This window comes from Homo sapiens, chromosome 12 (assembly GCF_000001405.40).
Source record: "Homo sapiens chromosome 12, GRCh38.p14 Primary Assembly".
Lineage (NCBI taxonomy): Eukaryota > Metazoa > Chordata > Mammalia > Primates > Hominidae > Homo > Homo sapiens.
This window is the reverse complement of record NC_000012.12, coordinates 53183399-53207295: the sequence shown is the minus strand read 5'-3', so window position 1 is coordinate 53207295 and position 23897 is coordinate 53183399. Positions and strand designations below refer to the sequence as shown.

Genomic DNA, 23897 nt, shown 5'->3' with positions numbered 1-23897 from the left:
CCCTGGGGAGTGTCACTTCCTCCTCTGCCGTCTCCCAGATCAGTACACAAAGGCTGCTGCTGCCGCCAGAGGAAGGACTGCTCTGCACGCACCTGTGAGTACCAGGGCACCAGCCCTTCTGCCTCCTCTCCTTACAAGCTCTGGCCCACCTGGTCCCAACCTCTTGGGAAGAGGGCTCTGACCTGGATACCGAGGGTCCTGTCCAGACTTGAGAAAGGCTCTGAACTCCTTTCTGCATTCCTAAGATCCCCTGACCTGGTTCCCTCCTCCAGTTTCACAGTACCCCCACCTCCACCTCTCCAAAAGCCCAATCTCTCCTGCATCAGTTTCCCATGAGTGGGTCTGGAGGCAGGGATGTATATGAGTGCTGTCATCTGAGTGCCTGCCATGTGCCAAGGACTATACCGAAGTAGGGCAGGTATACCGATTATACTGAGGGAGGGTTCTTCCAACATCACCCCCAGCTGCTATCCCTAATGCTCTGCCTTCAGCTCAGACTTCTTCCTAATCGGCACCTTGGTCACAGACTCCACTGTCCTGGGACACTGAGGCCCAGCAGCTCAGTTCCGTCCCCTCCTTGTGACTCCCAGTGGGCAGCAGAGGGTTCTGCTTGATTTGGAAGGTAGGGATGGGTTTGGAAGAGGCTCTGTTTCTCAGCTGCTGAGGGGGGTCACAGGGTGTGTACTGGAGTCAGAATGGAGTCCAGAAAAATGGAAATAACCACTTGGTCCCAGAGAGAGAAGGGAAGACTGCAGAATACCCCTAAGGAAAGAGAAATGGGATTAGGCAGAGCCCACCAGGGCTAGTGGGGAGAGAACACAACTTTTGATGGAGATAGTGCCTGGGTTGGAGGGAGGAAAGGAGAAAGCACAGCAGAGGCCTGGCCCTGCCCTGTCCTGCCCTGCCCCTAGTTCACTGGGTGACCCTGGCCTCATGGAATTTAGGTTTCCATTTGTAAAAAGAGTGGGATGGAGTAGTAGATTCAGCCATTCTATAGTTAGGAACAGAGGGGAAAAGGAAGTAAAATAGCCCTATGAAGAAGTGGAGCAGAGAAAAGCAGCAGAGAGATGCAATAGAAGTTTTGAAATGAAAGGAGCCAGAGAGAGACAGAGAAGCAGACAGAGAAATAGGTGGCAGAACATGTATTCTCAAGGAGGGGAGAAGAGAGGATAATTGGAAAGAAAGGTAGGAAAGGGCTGTCCAGGAAGTCCCAGGGCCCCCTTTAAGGGGAGATGAGTGGGCCTAAGGTCTCTGAAAAACCTATGCGGCAGCCGGGGCTCCACTTGTGAGAGATGAGTCAAAACCCGGCTTTGGGTTGCAGCATCTCCAGCCTCCCTGACCACAGGCATGCAGAGCAAGCAGGGCTGAGGTTACGCTGAGGCTGAGCTGGGACTGGCCTCTCCCCGAGGGGTGGAGGCTCCGTTATATATGGCGCCTGAGGTCACAGGTGGTGGGGAGCAGGACCAGGACATTCAAGGACTCAACACCCCACCCCTTTCCCACACTCTGTGCAGAGTATCTGGACCTGACTCTGGGCCCAGGCTGAAGAAGATGCAAATGGTTTATGACAAGGAGTTAGTTGGCCTTTCTCATACATTGCTGATGGGAATGTGGACCAGTACAAGTCCTGAAGAGTTTATGTTGGCAATACCCACCTATATATATATATTTCTTAGCATGAGAATGTAGATGAAATACACACCAGTATTACAAATGATACCTATCTAGTTATCCTGCACGTCCTCTGCTAGGGATTTATCCTACAGATTCAGTTGCAGACGTGTGAAATGATAAATACATGACATTTGGCTGGGGGTGATGGCTCACGCCTGTAATCACGGCAATTTGGGAGGCCGAGGCAGGTGGGTCGCTTGAGCTCAGGAGTTCTAGACCAGCCTGGGCAACATGGGGAAGCCCCATCTCTGCAAAATAATACAAAAATAATTAGCCAGACATGGTAGCATGCGCCTGTAGTACCAGCTACTCGGGAGGCTGAGGTGGAAGGATCAATTGAGCCGGCAAGGTCAAGGCAGCAGTGAGCCATGATTGCACCAGTACACTACAGCCGGGTGACAGAGCAAGACCCTATCTCTCAAATGAATAAATAAATAAATACATACATTACTTTTCATTTCAGCATTATTTGTCATAGGGAACTAGAAACAATTTAAGGCCAGGCACAGTGGCTCATGCCTGTAATTCCAGCACTTTGGGAGGCCGAGGTGGGTGGATCACTTGAAGTCAGGGGTTCGAGACCAGCCTGGCCAACATAGTGAAACTCTGTCTCTACTAAAAACACAAAAATTAGCTGGGTGTGGTGGCTCACACCTGTAATCCCAGCTACTCAGGAGGATGAGGCACACGACTCACTTGAACCCAGGAGGCAGAGGTTGTACATCACGCCACTGCATTCCAGCCTGGTCGACAGAGTGGGACTCTGCCAAAAAAAAAAAAAAAAAAAAGGTAAAGAAAAAAGAAACAAAGATAGTAGTAAATGATATTTATTTAGGGTAGGTGTGGGAACTGGGTATGGCATATGGAGTAGGAGATTTCTCACCATCTTATTTAACTTTTTGATTTTTAAAATGGTAAGATACACAAACATTTATCATTTTTACCCCTTTTAAGTGTACAATTCAGTGGCATTAAGTACATTCACTAATTCCAGAACTTATTCATCACCCTAAAATGAAACTGCCCATTAAGCAGTCATTCCCCACTTCCCCTTCTCCCAAGCTCTGGTAACCACTAATCTACCTTCTGTCTCTGTGGATTTTTCTAGTTTGGATATGTTCCATATGTGGAATCATACAATATGTGACCTTTCATGAATGGTTTTGTTCACTGAGCATGTTTTCAAGGTTCATCCATGTTGTAGCATGTATGTATCAGTACTTCATTTTTTTTTTTTTTTTGAGACCGAGTTTTGCTCTTGTTGCCCAGGCTGGAATGAAATGGCACAATCTCGGCTCACTGCAACCTCCGCCTCCTGGGTTCAAGCGATTTTCCTGCCTCAGCCTCCCAAGTAGCTAGGGTTACAGGAGACCACCACCATGCCTGGATAATTTTTGTATTTTTAGTAGATATGGGGTTTCACCATGTTGGTATGGCTGGTTTTGAACTCCTGATCTCAAGTGATCCACCCGCCTCGGCCTCCCAAAGTGCTGGGATTACAGTCGTGAGCCACTGTGCCCAGACCCATTTCATTGCTTTTTATGGCCAAATAACGTTCTGCTGTATGGATATACCACCTTTTCTTTATCCATTCATCAGTTGATGGACATCTGGGTTCTTTCTACCTTTTAGCTATTGTGAGTAGTGCTGCTGTGAACATTTCTGTACCAGTTTTTGTTTGAACACCTGTTTTCAATTCTTCTGAGTATATACCTAAGAGTGAAATTGCCAGGTTATAGGATAATCCTATGCTCAATTTATTGAGGAACCAAATTGTTTTCCACAGAGATTGTACCACTTTACATTCCTTACACGGTAATGTATAAAGATCCCAATTTCTCCATGTTCTCATCAACACTCATTGTTTTTCATTTTTTGATAGTCATTCTAGTAGAAGTGAAGTGGTATCTCATTGTGGTTTTTTTCTTCTTCTTTTCTTTTCTTTCTTTCTTTTTTTTTTTTTTTTTTTTTTTTGAGACAGGGTCTCGCTCTGTCGCCTAGGCTGGAGTGCAGTGGCCCGATCTTGGCTCACTGAAGCCTCTGCCTCCCGGGTTCAAGCGATTCTTGTGCCTCAGTTTCCCGAGTAGCTGGAGCTACAGGCATGTACCACCATGCCCAGTTAAGTTTTGTATTTTTAGCAAAGATGGGGTTTCACCATGTTGCCCAGGCCGGTCTTGAACTCCTGACCTCAAGTGATCCACCCACCTCAGCCTCCCAAAGTGCTAGGATTACAGGTGTGAGCCACCATACCCAGATCATTGTGGGTTTCATTTGCATTTTCCTAATGATTAATAGTGTTGAGCATCTTTTCATTTGCTGGGTGGCTATTTGTCTATCTTCTTTGAAGAAATGTCTTTTTAAGTCTTTTGCTCATTTTGAAAGTTGGGTTGTCTTTTTGTTGTTGAATTGTAAGAGTTCGTTATATATTAAGGATACTCATCTGATATATAATCTGCAAATATTTTCTCCCATTCTGTGGGTTGTCTTCGCTCTCTTGACATTGTCTTTGATGCACAAAACTTTAAATTTTTGATGAAGTCCAATGTATCTGTTTTTCCTTTTGTTGTTTGTGCTTTTGGTATTACAGCTAAGAATCCATTACCAAGTCCAAGATTATGAAGATTTACCTATATACTTTCTTCTAAGAATTTATAGTTTTAGTAGTTATATTTAGGGCTTTGATCTCTTTTCAGTTAACCTTTGTATATGGTGTGAGGTGGGGAGGGGGTCCAACTTCATTCTTTTGCATGTTGAAAGCACCTTTTATTTTTTGAGAAAAAGTGGTGGCGTGTGCCACTACACCCGGCTAATTTTTGTATTTTTAGTAGAGACGGGGTTTCACTATGTTAGCCAGGCTGGTCTTGAACTCCTGACCTTGTGATCTGCCTGTCTCGGCCTCCCAAAGTGTTGGGATTACAGGCATGAGCCACGGTACCTGGCCTTTTTTTAAAGATGGAGTTTCAGCTGGGCATGTAATCCCAGCTCATGCCTGTAATCCCAGCACTTTGGGAGCCTGAGGCAGGTGGATCACTTGAGGTCAGGAGTTTGAGACCAGCCCGGCCAATGTGGTCAAACCCTCTCTCTACTAAAAATACAAAAACTAGTCGGGTGTGGTGGCGCATGCCTGTAGTCCCAGATACTTGGGCGCCTGAGGCCAGAGAATTGCTTGAATCTGGGAGGCAGAGGTTGCAGTGAGCTGAGATGGCGCGACTGCACTCCAGCCTGAGCAAGACTCCATCTCAAAAAAACAAAACAAAACAAAAAAGACAGAGTTTCACTCTGTTGTCCAGGCTGCAGGGCAGTGGCACAATTGCAGCTCACTGCAACCTCTGCCTCCTGGGATCATGTGATTCTCCTGCCTCAGCCTCCTGAGTAGCTGGGATTACAGGCGCCCACCACCACACCCAGCTAGTTTTTGTATTTTTAGTAGAGACGGGGTTTCACCATGTTGTCCAGGCTGGTCTCGAACTCCTGACCTCAAGTGATCCACCTGCCTCGGCCTCCCAAAGTGCTGGGATTACAGGCATGAGCCACTGTGCCCAGCCCCAGCCCCATTTTTTGAAGACAGTTTTTCTCATTGAATGGTTTGGCACCCTTGTTGGAAATCAATTGGCCACAGAAGCATAGTTTATTTCTGGACTCTTTCAATTCTATTCCACTGATGTATAATATATGTGTATCCTTATGCCAGTACCACACTGTCTTCTTTTTTTCTTTTTAAGAGACAGGGTTTCACTCTGTTGCCCAGGGCAAAGTACAGTGACACGATCATAGCTCACTGCAGCCTCAAACTACTGGGTTCAAGCTGTCTTCTCACCAGCACTGGGATTACACGCATGAGCCACTGCGACCAGCCAATGCTGTCTTGATCACTGTAGCTTTGCAGTATCTTTTTTACAAGATTATTTTGGCTATTTGGGGTTCCGAGCAATTCCATATAAATTTTAGGATCAGCTTTTCCATTTCTGCAAAAAAAAAAGGGCCAATGGGATTTAACTTTTTGACTTATGAAGCGTGGTAAATGAATTACCTGCTCATTTTAAAAAATTAATATGTTTTTTTAAAATCAGGAATTTGCTTGGCTTTCCTGAAGGTCACTCAAGGTATTACCCTGTCTCCAGGCTCTTTCTTCAATCTAGATTATCTTTGTGCAAAGTACAGAAAGTAGAAAATTTTTTTGCCAACACTGGCCTTTCTCCCCTTATCCCAGACCTGCAGAGAGTTCTTGTGGTCTAATCTTCATTCCTCTTGCTACCATGTCAACCAAGCAGAACTATTCTTCCTTGACTCTTTCACACACTCCCTCATCTGCTCCAGCTTTCTTTTCTTTAATTCCCAGTCACTGACCCTCTTCTCTTATTTAGAATCCAAGATTGTAAAAGCCGCCAAGTATGTCAGACTATTTATTCAACTTCTCCACTTTGCAGATGTGGAAACTAAAGCCCAGAGAGAAAGTCTGACTTGCCCCACAGCCAGTGAGTGACTGCAGCAGCACCAGAATCTGGTCTGTTTCCTGTTTGGCTCTTCTACCACTACGGCTTGGGATCTCGGTAAATAGAACTGGGTGCAGACTTTAGTGCTTTCAGGCTCAGTCCCCAAATCCTTTAGTAGGCCATTTTGCCCACCTTGGCCACATGAAGTCTGCACACAGGAAGGACAGATCTTCTCTGAGGCCCCTATTTTTTTTTTTTTTAAGACAGATTCTTGCTTTGTCACCCAGGCTGGTGTGCAGTGGTGTGATCTCGGCTCACTACAACCTCCGCCTCCCTGGTTCAAGCAATTCTCTTGCCTCAGCTTCCTGAGTAACTGGGATTACAGGTGCACGCCACCATGCCTGACTAATTTTTGTATTTTTAGTAGAGATGGGGTTTCGCCATGTTGACTAGGCTGGTTTCGAATTCCTGAGCTCAGGTGATCCACCCACCTTGGCTTCCTAAAGTGCTGAGATAACAGGCATGAGCCACCACGTCCGGAGGCCCCTACCTTTGCGTGATACCTGCTCCTTCCCATTATTTTGAAGAAACTGCTGAATCCACAGGGGAAGTGAAACTATGAGGGGAGATAAAGTGTTGGGGCAGAGTTTTGAGAGTGATAACCACAAGCTAAGTTTAGAGGACTGAGAGTTTGAGAGTCCTCCCTGAGGACCCACATGTCCCCCTTTATATCCTATTACAGGGCATGGTGGCTTTGCCAATGGTCCTTGTTTTGCTGCTGGTCCTGAGCAGAGGTGAGAGTGAATTGGACGCCAAGATCCCATCCACAGGGGATGCCACAGAATGGCGGAATCCTCACCTGTCCATGCTGGGGTCCTGCCAGCCAGCCCCCTCCTGCCAGAAGTGCATCCTCTCACACCCCAGCTGTGCATGGTGCAAGCAACTGGTAAAGATGGGCCTATGGTCTTTGAACCATGTGTATGTGTATGTGTATGTGTATATGTATGTGCAGCCTGGATATATGTGTGTGATTGTGTGGGCACATGTATGATTTTCTGGGAACACTCCACAGTCTCATGTGTGACTGAGTTTGTGCACATAGGACTCCTGTGTGTGGATATACGTGTGTGCATACACATGCATGCAAGTTTCTTGTGCACTTAGGATTATGTCTGTATCCATTTGCTTGTGTATATATGGAGAGAATTTGTGACCATGAATTGGGAGAAAGTATGTGCTTGTGGGAATTCATGCTTGTGTATAGGTAGAGGGAGCTGTTGTGTATGTAAACATGGGAGAAAGGTACTACCCAGTGCGGGCTGCCATAACAAAATACCATAAGCTGGGTGGTTTAAGCAACAGGAATTCATTTCTCCTAATGTTGGAAGCTGGGAAGTCCAAGATCAAAGTGCTGGCTGATTTGGTTCCTCAGTTAGGGCCCTCTTCCTTGCTTGCAGACTGGCTACCTTCTCGCTGTGTCCTCACATAGTGGGGATGGGGTTGGGGGATGGGGGTGGGAACTGCCTCTCTTCTTGTAAGCGCACTAATTCCATCATGAGGGTTCCACCCTTAGGCCCTCATCTAAGCCTAGGTACCTCCCAAAGGCTCCATCTCCAAATACCATCACATGGAGGGTTAGGGCTTCAACAGAGGATGGGGTGGGGGTGGGGAGGGGTAGGGGTGCAGAGTTCAGTCCATAGCAGCAAGTGTGTGGTTAGATTTCTAAGTCTGTGTTTTGGGTGGAGGCATTCTGTTCCTGGGTGTGTAGTAGCCTATGACTGGACAGGTAGAAAGGGAAGGGGTGGAAGCATATGGGCTTGAGGGGGACTGGAAAGGCTTGAGCTACCTAAGTGGCCAAGAAGGATGCTAGGGAGCAGGTGTCTCCCTGGCTCTTCAAACAAAGCTGTTGTTTGTTTATGCTTTAAAGAGACAGAACTCATGGAGCAGCAGAGCAGGAGGGGTGCCCAAGCTGGGATGGGGGCAGGTCTGCCTCTCTCAGTGTAAGATGGAGGGTTAGATCAGTGTGGGAGCCCAGATAAGAGATGGGGGCAAATTCACATGGAAGCAGAGCTACAGATGCTTAGAGGACCCAGGAGAAAGGCACACAGGGACCCAGGAGAAAGGCACACAGTGAATCTGACTGGACAAGAAGGGTAGATACTGAGTCTGCACAAGGCAGAGAGGCAGAGGTGCCAGGCTGGAGCTGGGGAGCTGGCGCTCTTGAGATGGTCAGGTCTGTGTCTGGCTTCTCCAGTCTCCTGACACCTAGGGCCAGCTGAGAAGCCGCTCTAACCATTTCCTTCCCCTGTGGCTTCCCAACCAGTCCCAGGGATACCAGACATATTGGTGGGGAGGACGCCTCCTCTTCTGTTCTTATCCTTTCCTTTCCAAGGAGCTGTGGGTCTTAGTCTGACCACCTTCCCATTTTGGTGTGAGCTTGCTGGGGAGGTTGGCCTAGGAGGCAAGGCCCCTGTTTTTTTGTGGTAGTGAAGTCTCTAAGATCTCAACAGGAAGTCTGTGACTCTATTGGGGAGGAGAGGGGTAGGTGGCTGGGGCAAGGGGGAGTTGAGATAGGGGAGGGGTGGGGGACTGCTATAGGAAGTGGGGCTCTGACAAGGAAGAAAGGACCAGAGTTCCACCGGTGGCGGTTCATGCCTGTAATCCCAGTACTTTGGGAGGCTGGGGCAGGAGGATTTCTTGGGGCCAGGAGTTCGAAACAAGACTGGGCAAAAAAGCAAGACCCTGTCTTTACAGTAGGAAAAAAAAAAAAGGCGTGGTGGTTCACGTCTGTAATCCCAGCACTTTGGGAGGCTGAGGTGGGCGCACTTGAGGTCAAAAGTTTGAGACCAGCCTGACCTATATGGGGAAATCCCGTCTCTACTAAAAATACAAAAAACCTGGGCGTGGTGGCACATGCCTGTAGTCCCAGCTACCGGGAGGCTGAGGTACGAGAATCACTTGAACCCGGGAGGTGGAGGTTGCAGTGAGCGGAGATAGCACCGCAGCACTCCAGCCTGGGTGACAGAGTGAGACTCCGTCTCAAAAACAAAACAAAACAACAAAAAAGACCGGAGTTCAAGGGTAGCTGTGGCGAGGAAGAGGGGAGGGAATCAGGGACTCAAGGAGTGGACTGGAGGTGGGGGCATTAGAGGTGGCCGGGTTTGCAGGGTGTTTTTGGGAGCGGGGCCCAGGGCCTATGCAGGACCGGGTCCCGACGCGCCTTTTCTTGCTGAGCAGAACTTCACCGCGTCGGGAGAGGCGGAGGCGCGGCGCTGCGCCCGACGAGAGGAGCTGCTGGCTCGAGGCTGCCCGCTGGAGGAGCTGGAGGAGCCCCGCGGCCAGCAGGAGGTGCTGCAGGACCAGCCGCTCAGCCAGGGCGCCCGCGGAGAGGGTGCCACCCAGCTGGCGCCGCAGCGGGTCCGGGTCACGCTGCGGCCTGGTGAGTTAGGGGAGGCGGGGCCAGGCCAGAGGTCTAGGCTGGCGTTCCAATGCGCTCTGCTGACCCGCCCGCCGCCCACCCCCTAGGGGAGCCCCAGCAGCTCCAGGTCCGCTTCCTTCGTGCTGAGGGATACCCGGTGGACCTGTACTACCTTATGGACCTGAGCTACTCCATGAAGGACGACCTGGAACGCGTGCGCCAGCTCGGGCACGCTCTGCTGGTCCGGCTGCAGGAAGTCACCCATTCTGTGCGCATTGGTGAGCCGAGCGCTGCCTCCCGCCCTGTTAGCCCTTGCCTATTCAACCACTGCCCTAGCCTCTGCCAACATCCTGGACTCACAAGGGCCCCAACTTGCCCTCCCAGTTGTTGACAGGCCTAGCCAGGCCACAGGTTCGTTCCTGCATCTCTCCCTAGACACCCATCTTCTAGGTCAGAGCTGGAGAGGACTCAAGAGACTATCCGTTTTACAGGCCTGAGACCCAGCGTCTGGAGAGACTGTGCTCAGGCACTCTCTGGGCCTGGACAGCTGCCCTGGGCCTACCAACCTGGAACCTGCCCTGATGCAAGTCTCCCTGGACAAGACCTAGATGCCACTGTCCCTGGCTCCACATTCTGTGCCAACTCTCCTCTATTCAAATTTCCTTCCTTTGCCTCATGCTGCTACCATATCCTATACCCGGGCCTTCTTCCGCCTTCTGGAAGTTCCCATTTGCCCAGGAAGTTGTGTCCTCCTCTTAATGTCTTCTACCTGCCACTTCCCTGAGCCAGTGGTCTCACTGCTTTGCTTGCCAGTTACCAGGTCCCTGCCCCCTAGGTGCACCCTCTCCCATCACCGTCCTCCCCACCCCACTTCCCATAGAGCGCTCTCATGGGTCCTCTGTTGCTGCCCTGCGACTTCTGGCACAACCTTCATTCCTCTCCTCTCCCAGGTTTTGGTTCCTTTGTGGACAAAACGGTGCTGCCCTTTGTGAGCACAGTACCCTCCAAACTGCGCCACCCCTGCCCCACCCGGCTGGAGCGCTGCCAGTCACCATTCAGCTTTCACCATGTGCTGTCCCTGACGGGGGACGCACAAGCCTTCGAGCGGGAGGTGGGGCGCCAGAGTGTGTCCGGCAATCTGGACTCGCCTGAAGGTGGCTTCGATGCCATTCTGCAGGCTGCACTCTGCCAGGTGAGGAGGTGGGGCGGGGATCTGAGCCTGGAGGTCTGTTTGGGAACAGGACTGCCCCTTATGGTTGTGTAGTGCACAGTTCTAGGGGGTGCCATTCATACCATAGTTGCTGTAGTTTGTATATTTAGCAATTACCTGGTGGGTTGGAGTAAAATATCTTGAGGAGGAGGCATGTTTTTCGAATTCACAAGTAAGCCTCCACTAGCAGCAGCCTTCTTTAGGGGGCTGGAGAGAGCAGGGAGAAGCAAGGTACTGGAGGCAAGGGGATGGACAAGCTGACTCAGAGTGAGGCTGGCCACATTCTTGGCTCACAGAGCTGGCTGGGGTGGCTCAAGGGCCATGCCCAGGTGCATAGCCTACCACCCCCACTGTAACTCAGGAGCAGATTGGCTGGAGAAATGTGTCCCGGCTGCTGGTGTTCACTTCAGACGACACATTCCATACAGCTGGGGACGGGAAGTTGGGCGGCATTTTCATGCCCAGTGATGGGCACTGCCACTTGGACAGCAATGGCCTCTACAGTCGCAGCACAGAGTTTGTGAGTCCCTATTGTCACCCTGCCTCTCCCCATTTCAGCCACACCTCTTTCCTTCCAGGACTCCCACTCCCAGCCTTACAGTCCTCACCAGTAACCACCCTGTAGACACCCTGCCATCTTCTCCAGCAGTTCCTCCTTTCAGCTGCCGAGACAGGACACCTTTGTCACCCCATTCCCTACCTCCTTCCTATTCCATAGCAAGCCTCCAGGGCTCCTCCAGCTGGTGGAACCTTGGTTCCTGGATTCCCTGGGCTGAGGGCACCTTGCATGTTGTGGGGGAAACCTGTGGGGCTCACCTTGTCCCTGCTCCCTGTCCCAGGACTACCCTTCTGTGGGTCAGGTAGCCCAGGCCCTCTCTGCAGCAAATATCCAGCCCATCTTTGCTGTCACCAGTGCCGCACTGCCTGTCTACCAGGTGAGAGCTGTCTACATGTCAGATCCCCCAGCCCCATCCCAACCTTTCTCAATTCCCCCAAAGATACATTCTCCGTCCCCCATATGCCCTCCTTCCAGACCTCCGGGAGCCCATTTTCCTAGAGCTGTGACCCACCATTTCCCTTAACTCCCCAAAACTCAGGAGCTGAGTAAACTGATTCCTAAGTCTGCAGTTGGGGAGCTGAGTGAGGACTCCAGCAACGTGGTACAGCTCATCATGGATGCTTATAATGTGAGGGGCCAGGGGAAGGGGAGATGGTGAGGGTGGGCACTAGGGAAAGGTGGAAAGGGGCCCTTGGGTGGGGTGGCAGAACTAAGAGGAAATGGTCACTTTTTGGTCTAACATTCCACAGCTCCTACCTATAGTCTGCATGTGGCTGTCATTAACTGTTCAATCTTACATTCATAAATCTTAAAACATCTGACATGCAGACAGCATGGAGCTCTGCTCTGGGCAAGAAAGGAAAGTTTCAATCACTGAGCTTTTATTTCATGCGCCCACCATCCTAGGTGTACATACTGTTTGCTACTTCATTTAACCCTGCCAAAAGCCTTGCTTCATAACTGTTACCATCCCTATTTTACAGATGAGGAAACCCACACAAGGAGGCTAAGTGACTTGTCCAAGGTCACAAAGATAACAAACAGAAGGGCTGGCATTTGTCCCCAGTCAGTCTGTACATAAACAATGTGAGATCTGGAGCCTGCTTTCACTAAGTTTATAAATAATTCAGAGCTATTCTTCACAAGAACCATAGAATTTTACAGGTAGAAGGAACCATAAAAATTCTTAGTGGTTTAGGTCTTACCTCTGCAACTAGGCTGTAGGCTTCTTGATAACAGGGAGCATCTCCTAAACCTATGGCAAGAAAATCTGAGACAGTATCAAATTTCCCAAGATAAACTCTGTAATGAATCTGCCCTTTAGACCTGGCATGCACCCAGGTTATGTGTCCTGATGTGGGGCTTCACAAACATGGTCTCTGTACATTTACAGCACCTGGCCAGCCTGTGACCCTCAGTGGCCCTTGCTGGCAGCTGCACTGAAATGCTGTATTAGAGGCCTCTGGATCCTGTATGTTCTATGCAAGGTTCTCACGGGTCCTCCCTCCAGAAATGCCTCGACTGGGCAGAATGGAAGGAGCCCCAGGTGGCAGAGGGCAGGGTGCTGGCAGAATTGGGAACACCTGGAGAGGACATAAGGTGGGGTTGGAGTCCTTTTCTGCCTTCACGTGGTTATCCACTCGCTCTCTTCCCATAGAGCCTGTCTTCCACCGTGACCCTTGAACACTCTTCACTCCCTCCTGGGGTCCACATTTCTTACGAATCCCAGTGTGAGGGTCCTGAGAAGAGGGAGGGTAAGGCTGAGGATCGAGGACAGTGCAACCACGTCCGAATCAACCAGACGGTGAGAGCCAGCAAGCACAGGCAGAAGGCGGGCAGGGGGAGGTGGGAGTGGGAAATTAAGCAGGCAGGAAAAGATGGGTGGCAGGTACAGGGAGTGACATGAGAGCCTGAGGTAGTCCTCCATCCATCCTTCCTGGAGCAGTCTGAGTGGCTTCCTCAGGCATGTTTCTAGGAGTTGGGTGTTAACATGACCCCATCCCTTCATTTACTAAGGGGTGAGGTTCTGGATGATTGGTGAGTTTGGGGTATGTGTGTGTGCATGTGTATAACCATGGCCTGATTCCTGCCTCTTCTCAGGTGACTTTCTGGGTTTCTCTCCAAGCCACCCACTGCCTCCCAGAGCCCCATCTCCTGAGGCTCCGGGCCCTTGGCTTCTCAGAGGAGCTGATTGTGGAGTTGCACACGCTGTGTGACTGTAATTGCAGTGACACCCAGCCCCAGGCTCCCCACTGCAGTGATGGCCAGGGACACCTACAATGTGGTGTATGCAGGTGAGGGCCTCCTCTTCCCTTCAACCACCTGGCTCCCAACAACCAACCAACCCTGGCCCGTATTCCTCCGCTGCTTTCCATCCCCCCCACAGGAGTCTCCTCGACATCCCGACTCCCCACTCAGTTTCATCCCTTGAAGCTTCCCATGTATGTCCAGGCCCTCCCCCTGACTGGGGCTCCCTCCACTCTCTCACCCCTCAGTGTTTCACTATACTTAACATCCTTTCAGCTGTTTGTCTGTCTCCAACTCTTTTGAGAACTTGGGTTTAGAGGTTCCTGGGAGAGACAAGTCAGGGGTGATCAAACCCTCTGACCTACTTCTCTCCTTTGCCTTCCCCTTCCAGCTGTGCCCCTGGCCGCCTAGGTCGGCTCTGTGAGTGCTCTGTGGCAGAGCTGTCCTCCCCAGACCTGGAATCTGGGTGCCGGGCTCCCAATGGCACAGGGCCCCTGTGCAGTGGAAAGGGTCACTGTCAATGTGGACGCTGCAGCTGCAGTGGACAGAGCTCTGGGCATCTGTGCGAGTGTGACGATGCCAGCTGTGAGCGACATGAGGGCATCCTCTGCGGAGGTACCTGGAGCCTTGGGGAGAAGGGCGGGGTCTGAGAGGCCTTCCCAAGGCACTTAGGCTCTGGGAATCTCCTGGCATGGAAGGCAAATATCAAAAGATTCCGGTGTATGGGTTAGAGGGTGTGGTTGGCATACTTCAAAAAGATTGGATGCGTGGGCTTGTCGTGCCACATGATGGCCAACTGTGTGTGTGGAGTATGGTTGTCACCCTCTGCATGGCTCTACCCCAGGCTTTGGTCGCTGCCAATGTGGAGTATGTCACTGTCATGCCAACCGCACGGGCAGAGCATGCGAATGCAGTGGGGACATGGACAGTTGCATCAGTCCCGAGGGAGGGCTCTGCAGTGGGCATGGACGCTGCAAATGCAACCGCTGCCAGTGCTTGGACGGCTACTATGGTGCTCTATGCGACCAATGCCCAGGCTGCAAGACACCATGCGAGAGACACCGGTGAGGCCTCAGGTCTTGCATCTTGGGAGCAGGGGCACAGTGGGGCTTGTTGAGCTACTCCCATCTGCCTACTCTCCGTCCTGCTTGTAGTTGGGCAAGGGGCATTGGGTGACAACTGCCCAGCTGGTAACCTATTGGCATCTACTACACAGGGACTGTGCAGAGTGTGGGGCCTTCAGGACTGGCCCACTGGCCACCAACTGCAGTACAGCTTGTGCCCATACCAATGTGACCCTGGCCTTGGCCCCTATCTTGGATGATGGCTGGTGCAAAGAGCGGACCCTGGACAACCAGCTGTTCTTCTTCTTGGTGGAGGATGACGCCAGAGGCACGGTCGTGCTCAGAGTGAGACCCCAAGAAAGTAAGTGGGCAGGGATGCCACAAACCCTGGAAGTTTGATGGGCAGGGTCTCAACTCTGGGGATGCAGAGTGAAGATAATGGGAAACAGGCTGGGGGCTGAAGCAGAACTGTGAATCCAGGACAAAGGCAGAGGCAATTGAGCAAGTGGACGAGGCTAAGGCCCTGGGCGGTGAGGATAACCTTGGACCTCCCTGGGTTCCCTTTGCTTTCAGTGACAGACAGGGTTGGACAGGCTGGACACACTGTGAGCAACTGATGATCTGTCCCTATGCTCCAGCTCCCACAAGTGTGTCTGGTTTCTTGTTCACAGAGGGAGCAGACCACACGCAGGCCATTGTGCTGGGCTGCGTAGGGGGCATCGTGGCAGTGGGGCTGGGGCTGGTCCTGGCTTACCGGCTCTCGGTGGAAATCTATGACCGCCGGGAATACAGTCGCTTTGAGAAGGAGCAGCAACAACTCAACTGGAAGCAGGTGAGGAGACTTCCTGGTTAGGCCCCTTTTTAGCTGTTCCCCCACCACAAGACCAGCCCTGATTCCTCCCACTGGGTTCCCCCAGCCCCTGGCACATGTAACCAACCCCTCTGCTAACTTCCATCAGCTCCTAGGATTCGGCTCAAGGCTGGCCTCTTAGGTCTAGAAAGGGGACGAGGAATCCTGGGATTTTTGCTTATAATCTGCAACATCTTTCTCCAGGACAGTAATCCTCTCTACAAAAGTGCCATCACGACCACCATCAATCCTCGCTTTCAAGAGGCAGACAGTCCCACTCTCTGAAGGAGGGAGGGACACTTACCCAAGGCTCTTCTCCTTGGAGGACAGTGGGAACTGGAGGGTGAGAGGAAGGGTGGGTCTGTAAGACCTTGGTAGGGGACTAATTCACTGGCGAGGTGCGGCCACCACCCTACTTCATTTTCAGAGTGACACCCAAGAGGGCTGCTTCCCATGCCTGCAACCTTGCATCCATCTGGGCTACCCCACCCAAGTATACAATAAAGTCTTACCTCAGACCACAGCTGTCACTTTGCTTTACCTCATCAAGGCCAAAGCAGACTGTTTATAGCCTGGGCCTCGGGAAAGCTCTTGTCCATCCTCCTCTTGCCACCTGAGGGCAGGGAGAGGTGCCCAAGCGCGAATGTGCAGGAAACTCCCGGGGTGCACCCTGGGACCCAGGAAGCCAGGTCTGGAAAGGGCCTATGAATTCTCAAGTGCTGCGGATGCAGGGGGGTCCCAGGTCAGAGACACTGCATCTGTTGGTGTCTAGCCTCCTTCCGTCCTGCTGCGTGTGCTTTTTCGTCTTGCTCAGAACTGATGCCCTGTTTTTGCTCCTACTTGCTTGTTCCTCTGTGGAGAAGGGGTTTTAAAATGGCTTATAGGGTGCTGGAAGTTGTGGGGTGATTATGTAGGGAGAAAAAAGGAAAACAACTAAAACCAGTATGAAAAAGCTTCCCCAAAGAGGAGATAGTATGTAGAAAAGCCCCATTTTCCTTTTATTTAAATATCCTAAATATATCACGAAGGAACATACACTGCACTTTAATGGTAAAAAGATACAAGTTTATAACATCTTATAAAAACTACCATTTAAAAGTGATCTTGTCCATTTGATATTCCCCTCCCCCATAGCAAAATATTATTTAAAAAAAAAAAAAACAAAAAACAGGGTGGAGAGGAGGATAGGAAGGGGACAGTTGATAAAACCCCAGGGCCACAGCAGAGGCAAAGGGCATCTGGGGAGAGGGTTCGAAGCTGTGGCGGACTCCACTAATGTAACCCTCCAATGTCAAGCCATGGGCGTGATCAGTAGCTAAGTGATGACAAGGCTGTTGGGGGTGGACGGAAAAGACTTGGGGCAAAGCAGACTGTTTATAGCCTGAGCTGGTAGGGCCTGGTGCAGCAGCCTACCCGGAACTGGCACTACTCTTTCCCAGGTTCCCTGACTCTCTATCCTGGTCTCTGAGAGCGTGCCCTACTTCCGTTTCCCCCACTCCAAACACACCTGAGGCATCTTCCAGTGCTAGGCCCCATGCTGGCCAGCAGGGGTCGGGCATTGGGCCCAGGAGCCTCTGCAGCGGTGTGAGTCAGTGGCTTCCCTGGGGTATCCGTGGGGCTCCCGGGCCCTCTGGATGCCAAATCACTCCTTTCACTGCTTTGCGCCTCTCTTCTCACACATGCACTGCCCCAGACATCAGCGCGGGAACTGAACCAACCACCTGCTCCTGAGTTTCCCTCACTGGGTCCTTGGCAGGGGTGGCTCTGCTATGGCTGTTCGCACATACTCTCTGAAGTTCCCTCCCTCCCACCCACCCAGGCAGGAAACCAAGGTCTGTGGGAACCCAGGGCACCTTCTGACCCAGTACACACATTAGTACACATAGGGGCACAGGTCACTCATGTGAGACTTACATGAATCTCTCCACATACACCCCTATCCCAAAGAGACTAGCTGTAAGTGGCAGGGACAGAGGGCTCTCATTTTCAAAAGCATTTTTGGGAGGATAGTTTTCTAAATATTTTAAAATGGTTTACAGGGTACTGGAAGATGTGGGGTGAATCATCCCAGAAGTGAAGGACAGGAAAAGCCCAGATCCAGCAGAACCCTTGAACAGGAAGGGGGCTGGCTCACATGCAGAAAGATGCCCCTGCTTGCAGGGACCACAGGGCTGATCCAAGGACTGAGGTCTAAGTTCTGGACCACATCAAATGGGAGTGTCAGCATAGAGCTGTAAGAGTACATGGCAGCAAACACTCCTCAGCGTCTCCCCAAAAGGATCTCAGATGCTGTCAGGGAAAATCGAATGGGTGCCATGCCTGCTTTCTTTTTCCCTGAAATACTCATACCACAGAGGTATGGACAACCCCCTCCCCAACCCCACCCCTCCAGAATAGGTAACAGCCAGGAATCATTGCTGGTATCCATTCTTTACATTTTCTGGGAAATGAAATCATACTTTCAGGAGTTTCCCATCTCAGACCCTACTGACAGCTTGGCACTCAGGTTCAGCCAGTCTCCATGATTACTAAGACAGTTCCCGTACCCGCCACAGGTCAGGTCAGGTTACAGTGGGGGTCAACCAAACCCCAAAACTTCCCATAAGGATTCTTTCTTTAGCAGAAAGAAAAGGTTTATTTCACCTTAGAAAATTCATGTTCACAAGCCCTGGCTTGGGTTAGAAACATCCTAACCACCAGGCTGTTGAATTCATCTTAAAAAAAAAAACCCTCCAAAACAAAAGCCCTTCTGTTCCCCAAATTGTGTTCTTCAGCTCCTGCTGAGACCTCAAGCACCCTTCATGTTTGGGCAAGAGGAGGCTATTTTCCACTCATCCTCCCTGAAGGTGAGGGCCAGAGAAGGGTTTGGCTCAATAATATGCCATCTCCTGCAAGCATACAAATACATGCATTCATATCTCACACACACTCTCTCTCACACACACACACACACCCGATTACTTTTTTGGGAGTGGACAAGGTGGTGGTATTGGAGCAGAGAGGAGCAAAGAATATGGTTAAGAATGGAACCTACATTAGGTTTCTTCTTTAGTCTTTTCTCTGCAGCACCCCCACCCCCATCCCCCACACTCTGTTGGGTAGGGATGGCCATCAGGAAGCAAGCCGAGATCTTGTTTTTTGGGACCAAAGGACAGACCCCTCCCTACCTCCTCTACCTGAATACAGTGATAGGACTTGGGGAGGGAGAACAGCTCCTACTGCTCAACAGGCATGTCAGAAGACCCCAGATTCCTTTGTTTCTTGAGCAGCTGTTAGCCAACTTGGGACCAGTCTTGGGTTGTTCCTAAGAGGGCACAAGGAGAGAGAACCCACTTTGACTTCCATGACTCCTTGCTCAACACATCTGTCTCACTTTAGGAGTCAATGGCAGCGAGGTAGCCACATACCATCTCCAAGACCGACTCCCCAAAAAAAGAAGAAAAGGGCTTCATGGGCCACTCTCACCCAAGTTTCCTCCTAAAGGCATTTGAGCTGATGCCATCAGGTGCCAATGTGACATGGGCCATGACAACACCCACTGGCACAACTCTTCCTTTTCCCTTGAGGAAGGAAGAGGTGCCATCCACTTTTTGGATCCAGCCCTTGTCTGCTCCACCCCGTTTTTCCTTTTGTCCCTACAGTGTATAAGGAAGCCAAAGTAAGCTCAGCTGCCATTCCTGACCTTATTCTTCCTCAAAAAGGAGGCGAAGTGCAGGATTGTGAAACACTGAGGAGCTACTGCAACTAAAAACCCAATTTTTGGGGAGAGCTGGACCAGCTATAGTCCCTACTTTGGACCAGGACTCTTATGCCTCTGGATTACCTGTATCCACAGTTTACCCGCTGAAGTTGCTTTTGGATAAACAAAAACAAGAACAGAACAAACAAATCCCCTTCCCCAATCTTTTCCATTTCAGCTGCCAGCTGGAGTCCAAGGTTGTGGGAGCCACACTTCAGTCTTGGTCCTGTACCTTGAGTCCCCACCTATGACCTCAGCCAAGGGTCCAGGGACTAGCTCCCCTACCCAGGAATGCTGTAAGAACTTCCCCGAGATACTCATAGTCTCAGATTATTTACAGAGCTGAGGTTCTGGGGCCACTGTCCCCTGATGCACTCTTCTGGTCTCCTGGGTCCACTCCTCCAGGAGTGGGACAGGTTCACATGGGGCGGTGGTGGGACCATCAGACCAGAGGGGGTGTGCTCTTCGGCAGGTTCTTCTGATCACTCCCACCACCCGGGGCCCCTTGCGCCTATAGAGAAAACTGCCCGTCGGAAGTCTTGGACTGGCACCCTTGGCACATCCGTTTGTGTCTGAGTAATCGATCTGTCCGAGAAAAACACTGAGAAGAAAGGGAGGGTTAAGTGCCTGAGCAGACAAACGCAGCTACCTGTTGGCTAACTCATTCCTCTCACAGGAGGCAGATACCACATTCTCCATCCCCTCAGCACGTGCACAGACAGCAGGAGCACACGGTGGTGGAGAATCCAAGCTCTCAGGCCAGACCGCCTGGGGCTGAATCTTGGCTCTATCACTCAGCAGCTGTGTGACCTTGGGCAAGTTACCTAACAGCCCAGAATCTGCATACTCATCTGCAAAACTGCAAAGCGAGGCTAAAAGTACCTACTCACAGCACAGCTGCTTTATTCATCAAAGATTTATTGAGTATCTATCTCAAGGCAGATACAGAGTAGAGAACCAGAGGAACAAAGTCTCTGCCCTCATGGAGCTTTTATTCTAGCGTCTGAAGATTCAGTGTAAGAGTGCAGAGCAAAGCTTGGGACCTAGCAATGCATCCAGGAAGTGTTAGCTATTATCATTTCTCATCTCTTGTTCTTGTCTTGTTTTGGCCCCAGCTCTTACATTCTCATCAGATCAGATACTGACCCCCAGGGCAAAGATTGTATCTCTTCCTCCAAAGTGCATTAGCTCTGAAGTTGGACTGAATCCCAGCTCTGTTCGTGATCTGCGGTGTCCCTGGGAAACTTAACTTCTCTGAATCTCAATTTTCCCATACGTGAAATAAGGACAATACAGCTACCTTAGGGAGTCAATGTGAGGATTAAATAAAATCATCTATGTAAAGTATGCTCTCACAGTGCCTGGCATAGAGTAAGTGATATGGAATGCTATTATTATTATTATTACAATGTTCTAATTGCTGCTCCCCATGATCAGCTGCATAAGGCCAGACAGATGCACTTCACCCCGATGTGTTAACTATTATGGCGAGTAACGCTGGTGGCTCTTTTGTCAGGCAGGAGTGGAGGGTGGCCCTGATTCTTGGGGAAGGAAAAGTGTGTGTGGGGTATTGTAGCAGGGATGAGCCTTACCTGATGACACCGTTCACACTGGTAAGGCTTTTCACCACTGTGCACACGCTTGTGGCGTTCCAGGTGGTACTTCTGGATGAAACGCATATCACATATATCGCATTCAAATGGCTTCTCACCTGGCCCAGGTGGACAGAGAAGTGAATGTGGGGAGGTATGTACAGTAGGGACCTCATTCCAGTTTTCTCAGAAACTTTAACTCTTAGTAATGTGTAGACACCTAAGTGATCATAAATGGGGAGAGGTCCCCAAAGGTGCTGGTCTCAGTGACACCAGATACAAAGCCATGCAATCTCTCTGCTTCATTGACTTATCTTCTTCCTTCATTTCTAATACTTACCCATTAAAATAAACCCAACTAGAGCCACAAACAGACATGGAATACAAGCGATAGACTATTCTCCCCCTTTTGAATATAAACAAGAGACTTACCAGTGTGAATAAGGATGTGCCTCTTTAGGTGGTAACTGCTCCGAAAGGCTCCAAAGCAGTGTTCACAAACAAAATTTTTGGGAATCTTTACTTGAAAAGAACCATTTTGTTCCACTACCACCACCTGGGGGCAATAATCAGGCATGTCATGAGGCCACCACTGCCCTCTTCCTGGAGACACTGTTCTACTCTGGGTCCACTTCCAGCTGTTGGAGAAAGGAACCTCTCTGATGCTGTCTAAAGGTGCTGCCATCTCCTGTACTCCATGGAGGTAAGAGACCCTTTGGGGAAGGAGGTGGAGTGGGTAAGCTGTCTATCCTGTCAAACCCAGCAGTCTGAGTATGACTTGAGCTGGAGCCTGCCTGCTCCCATGCCTCGGGATCTGGGATCTCATGCTCCCCAACCTGTACCATTACTGTTCCAGCAAGGCAGGAGATCAACTACCAAGGTAGTCTCTGGATGAAATCTGGGGGACTCACTCACTGGCTATCAGAGATCAAAGCATCTAGGGAAAGCTCCAGGTTACATGGTAGAGGGAAGAAGGAGGAATATTACCCCATTACCAAACTGTATGAGTTTGGGGGATCACCCCATTACCTGCCTTTTTAACAGTCTTTTTTGAATGAGAGGCCTCAGACAAGCTGTCATCATCTTTGCGGCTCCGGGACTTATCACTGTCTTTTCGGTGACCCTTTGAAGACAAATCAAATCTAAACTCATAGCCCATCTCGGAACATGAGATGAGACCCAATGCAGCTCTCAGACAAAATTCATAAATGAGAGTAAACCACCTGCCCCGAAAGCTTAGAGGAAGTATACAACTATTTCCTCTCCAAGCACCTGGTCTTAAAAGAGTTGAAGGCACACAAAAGACCTTCCTTAGCTTTCTGAAATACCAATGTTCATCCATTCCCCAGTTGGATCCCCTTGCCCCACTTCCCTATGAGGAAGCATCAAGGAATCAGAGCTTGGTATCTCCTGGCAGAGAGCTTGGGCCACCCGATCCCCAGGTGCCACAATGGACTCAAGCGCTGTACCTGACTCGAGCACCTCAGCACATCAGGGCTACCTGCCCGCTCGCCATTCTCGGCCTGCTTGCTGGCAATCTGGCTCAGCATCATCTTCTTGCTGGCTGCAGTGGGAACCAAACTCACACCTGCTAGGCCTTCACAAGCCAGGAGACTTGCCTAAGTTGAAAGGAGATGAGGTGTCAGGTCACCTGGCAGGGCAGGGCAAAAACAGACTGCCATCCTCTATAGAACTACCTTTTACACCCTGCTACAAACTGCTTCTCTCCAGGGAATGTCCCTCCTCACTGCCAAAGCCTTGCTTCCTTCAAGAGTCCTCCCTAACTCATCTCACCAGGAACGACTTATCTTGTCATCCTTCAGCATTTAAATATAGATCAAGTAAATAATCAAGTATTACTGACACCTTTGTCATCAGCACTAGGCAGTGTGTGGCTACATATTTCTTTGAAGGTATTTCTAGGCCTTAACTGTGAGTGGGTATGAGGTTCCATCTTGCTAACCCACTGACACAGGAGATTCCTTCAGGACCTTCCTCCTTCCTCCCTCAACAGCCCTCAGCTGGGCCGAGTGCAGTGGCTCACACCTATAATCCCAGCACTTTGGGAGAATGAGGCGGGCGGATCACGAAGTCAGGAGTTCGAGACAAGCCTGGACAATAGGTGAAACCTTGTCTATACTAAAAATACAAGAATTAGCCAGGTGTGGTGGCACACACCTGCGGTCCCAGCTACTCGGGAGGCTGAGGCAGAAGAATTGCTTGAACCCGGGAGGCGGAGGCTGCAGTGAGCCGAAATCGCGCCACTGCACTCCAGCCTGGGCAACAGAGCGAGAATCCCTCCGTCACTCACACACACACACACACACACACACCCCTTAGCTTCAGAGCGCGCGCGCGCACACACACACACACACACACACACACACACACACACCCCTTAGCTTCAGAGCCCACTTTTGATTGGCAGATCTTGCTGGTGCCAACTGTATTTTCTATCGGTTTGTTTCATTTTTTGCTTGTTGGTTGAGACAGGGTGTCACTCTGTCGCCCAGGCTGGAGTGCAGTGGCACGATCTCGGCTCACTGCACTCTTGACCTCCCTGGCTTAAGCGATCCTTCTACCTCTACCTCCTGAGTAACTGGGACTTCAGGAGAATGCCACCACACCCGGCTATTTTTTTTTGTATTTATAGAGACGGGGTTTCACCATGTTGCCTAGGCTGGTGTGGAACTCCTGAGCTTAAACAATCCTCCAGCCTCAGTCTCCTAAGGTCCTGGGACTACAGGCTATTTCTCCCTTTAGATTTTAAACTCCCTAAGTATTTACCAATTGCAACTGATATGATTTTTGGAGTTCAGCATTTCTCTTGACCTCTTAGGCCATTTATATGTGTGCTTGTATGATCACATTTTTTTTCACATTCCTTGCTCCATATATAATTTAAACAATTACTTAAGTAAGGTATGTTTAAGTAAATTTCCAGAAAACTGCTACATTCTTCAAACTGACTTCGGTTAGCCGGCATTAAAGAAAATACTTTTCTTACTGAAAAAAAAAATTTTAAGAAATCGTTGGTCAGCAAACTCACAAATTTATGAAGAAATTCCTTTTAGATGATCAGTACGTTCTGGGACCCCTCCCTCCACCTTC

General features: G+C 50.3%; 2 protein-coding genes across 22 annotated transcripts in view, besides 3 other annotated features; one reads left to right on the top strand and one right to left on the bottom strand.

Moving 5' to 3' along the window:
- Positions 1-44: 44 nt before the first annotated feature.
- ITGB7 (integrin subunit beta 7) lies at positions 45-15973 on the top strand. Of its 21 annotated transcripts, NM_001414159.1 has the most exons (17): positions 45-94; positions 492-622; positions 6102-6224; positions 6850-7053; positions 9345-9546; positions 9633-9803; positions 10476-10717; positions 11097-11255; positions 11575-11670; positions 11833-11922; positions 12952-13098; positions 13395-13588; positions 13933-14156; positions 14386-14605; positions 14758-14966; positions 15277-15437; positions 15660-15973. In NM_001414159.1, the coding sequence occupies exons 4-17, from the start codon at positions 6853-6855 to the stop codon at positions 15738-15740; spliced, it is 2397 nt and encodes a 798-aa protein (NP_001401088.1). In that variant the 5' UTR covers positions 45-94; positions 492-622; positions 6102-6224; positions 6850-6852; the 3' UTR covers positions 15741-15973. The 21 variants fall into 21 exon arrangements, 18 of the variants coding, with proteins under 18 accessions (NP_001401088.1, NP_001401086.1, NP_001401087.1 ...); NM_001414157.1 differs by lacking the exon at positions 492-622 and having other exon boundaries at positions 6102-6149; NM_001414158.1 differs by lacking the exon at positions 492-622 and having other exon boundaries at positions 6102-6178.
- Positions 1916-2005: an enhancer, noted in NCBI's record as "active region_6404". NCBI's record gives its function as "activates an Ori minimal core promoter by ATAC-STARR-seq in GM12878 lymphoblastoid cells {active_cell/tissue: GM12878}" and the evidence as "EXISTENCE:reporter gene assay evidence [ECO:0000049][PMID:35858748]".
- Positions 6436-6665: an enhancer, noted in NCBI's record as "active region_6403". NCBI's record gives its function as "activates an Ori minimal core promoter by ATAC-STARR-seq in GM12878 lymphoblastoid cells {active_cell/tissue: GM12878}" and the evidence as "EXISTENCE:reporter gene assay evidence [ECO:0000049][PMID:35858748]".
- Positions 12154-23897, bottom strand: part of ZNF740 (zinc finger protein 740) — a 14421-nt gene continuing 2677 nt past the window's right edge. Inside the window, exons 3-7 of the mRNA NM_001004304.4 lie at positions 22256-22405; positions 21820-21909; positions 21219-21342; positions 20787-20905; positions 12154-19795 (exon numbers count right to left, since the gene is read on the bottom strand). Of these exons, the coding sequence (NP_001004304.1) occupies positions 19706-19795; positions 20787-20905; positions 21219-21342; positions 21820-21909; positions 22256-22405 (573 nt within the window). The 3' untranslated portion in view covers positions 12154-19705. The remainder of the gene's footprint in view (positions 19796-20786; positions 20906-21218; positions 21343-21819; positions 21910-22255; positions 22406-23897) is intronic.
- Positions 16917-17211: a silencer, noted in NCBI's record as "tiled region #11320; HepG2 Repressive DNase matched - State 12:CtcfO, and K562 Repressive non-DNase unmatched - State 14:Gen5'". NCBI's record gives its function as "represses a minimal TATA promoter and a strong SV40 promoter by Sharpr-MPRA in HepG2 and K562 cells {active_cell/tissue: HepG2 | K562}" and the evidence as "EXISTENCE:reporter gene assay evidence [ECO:0000049][PMID:27701403]".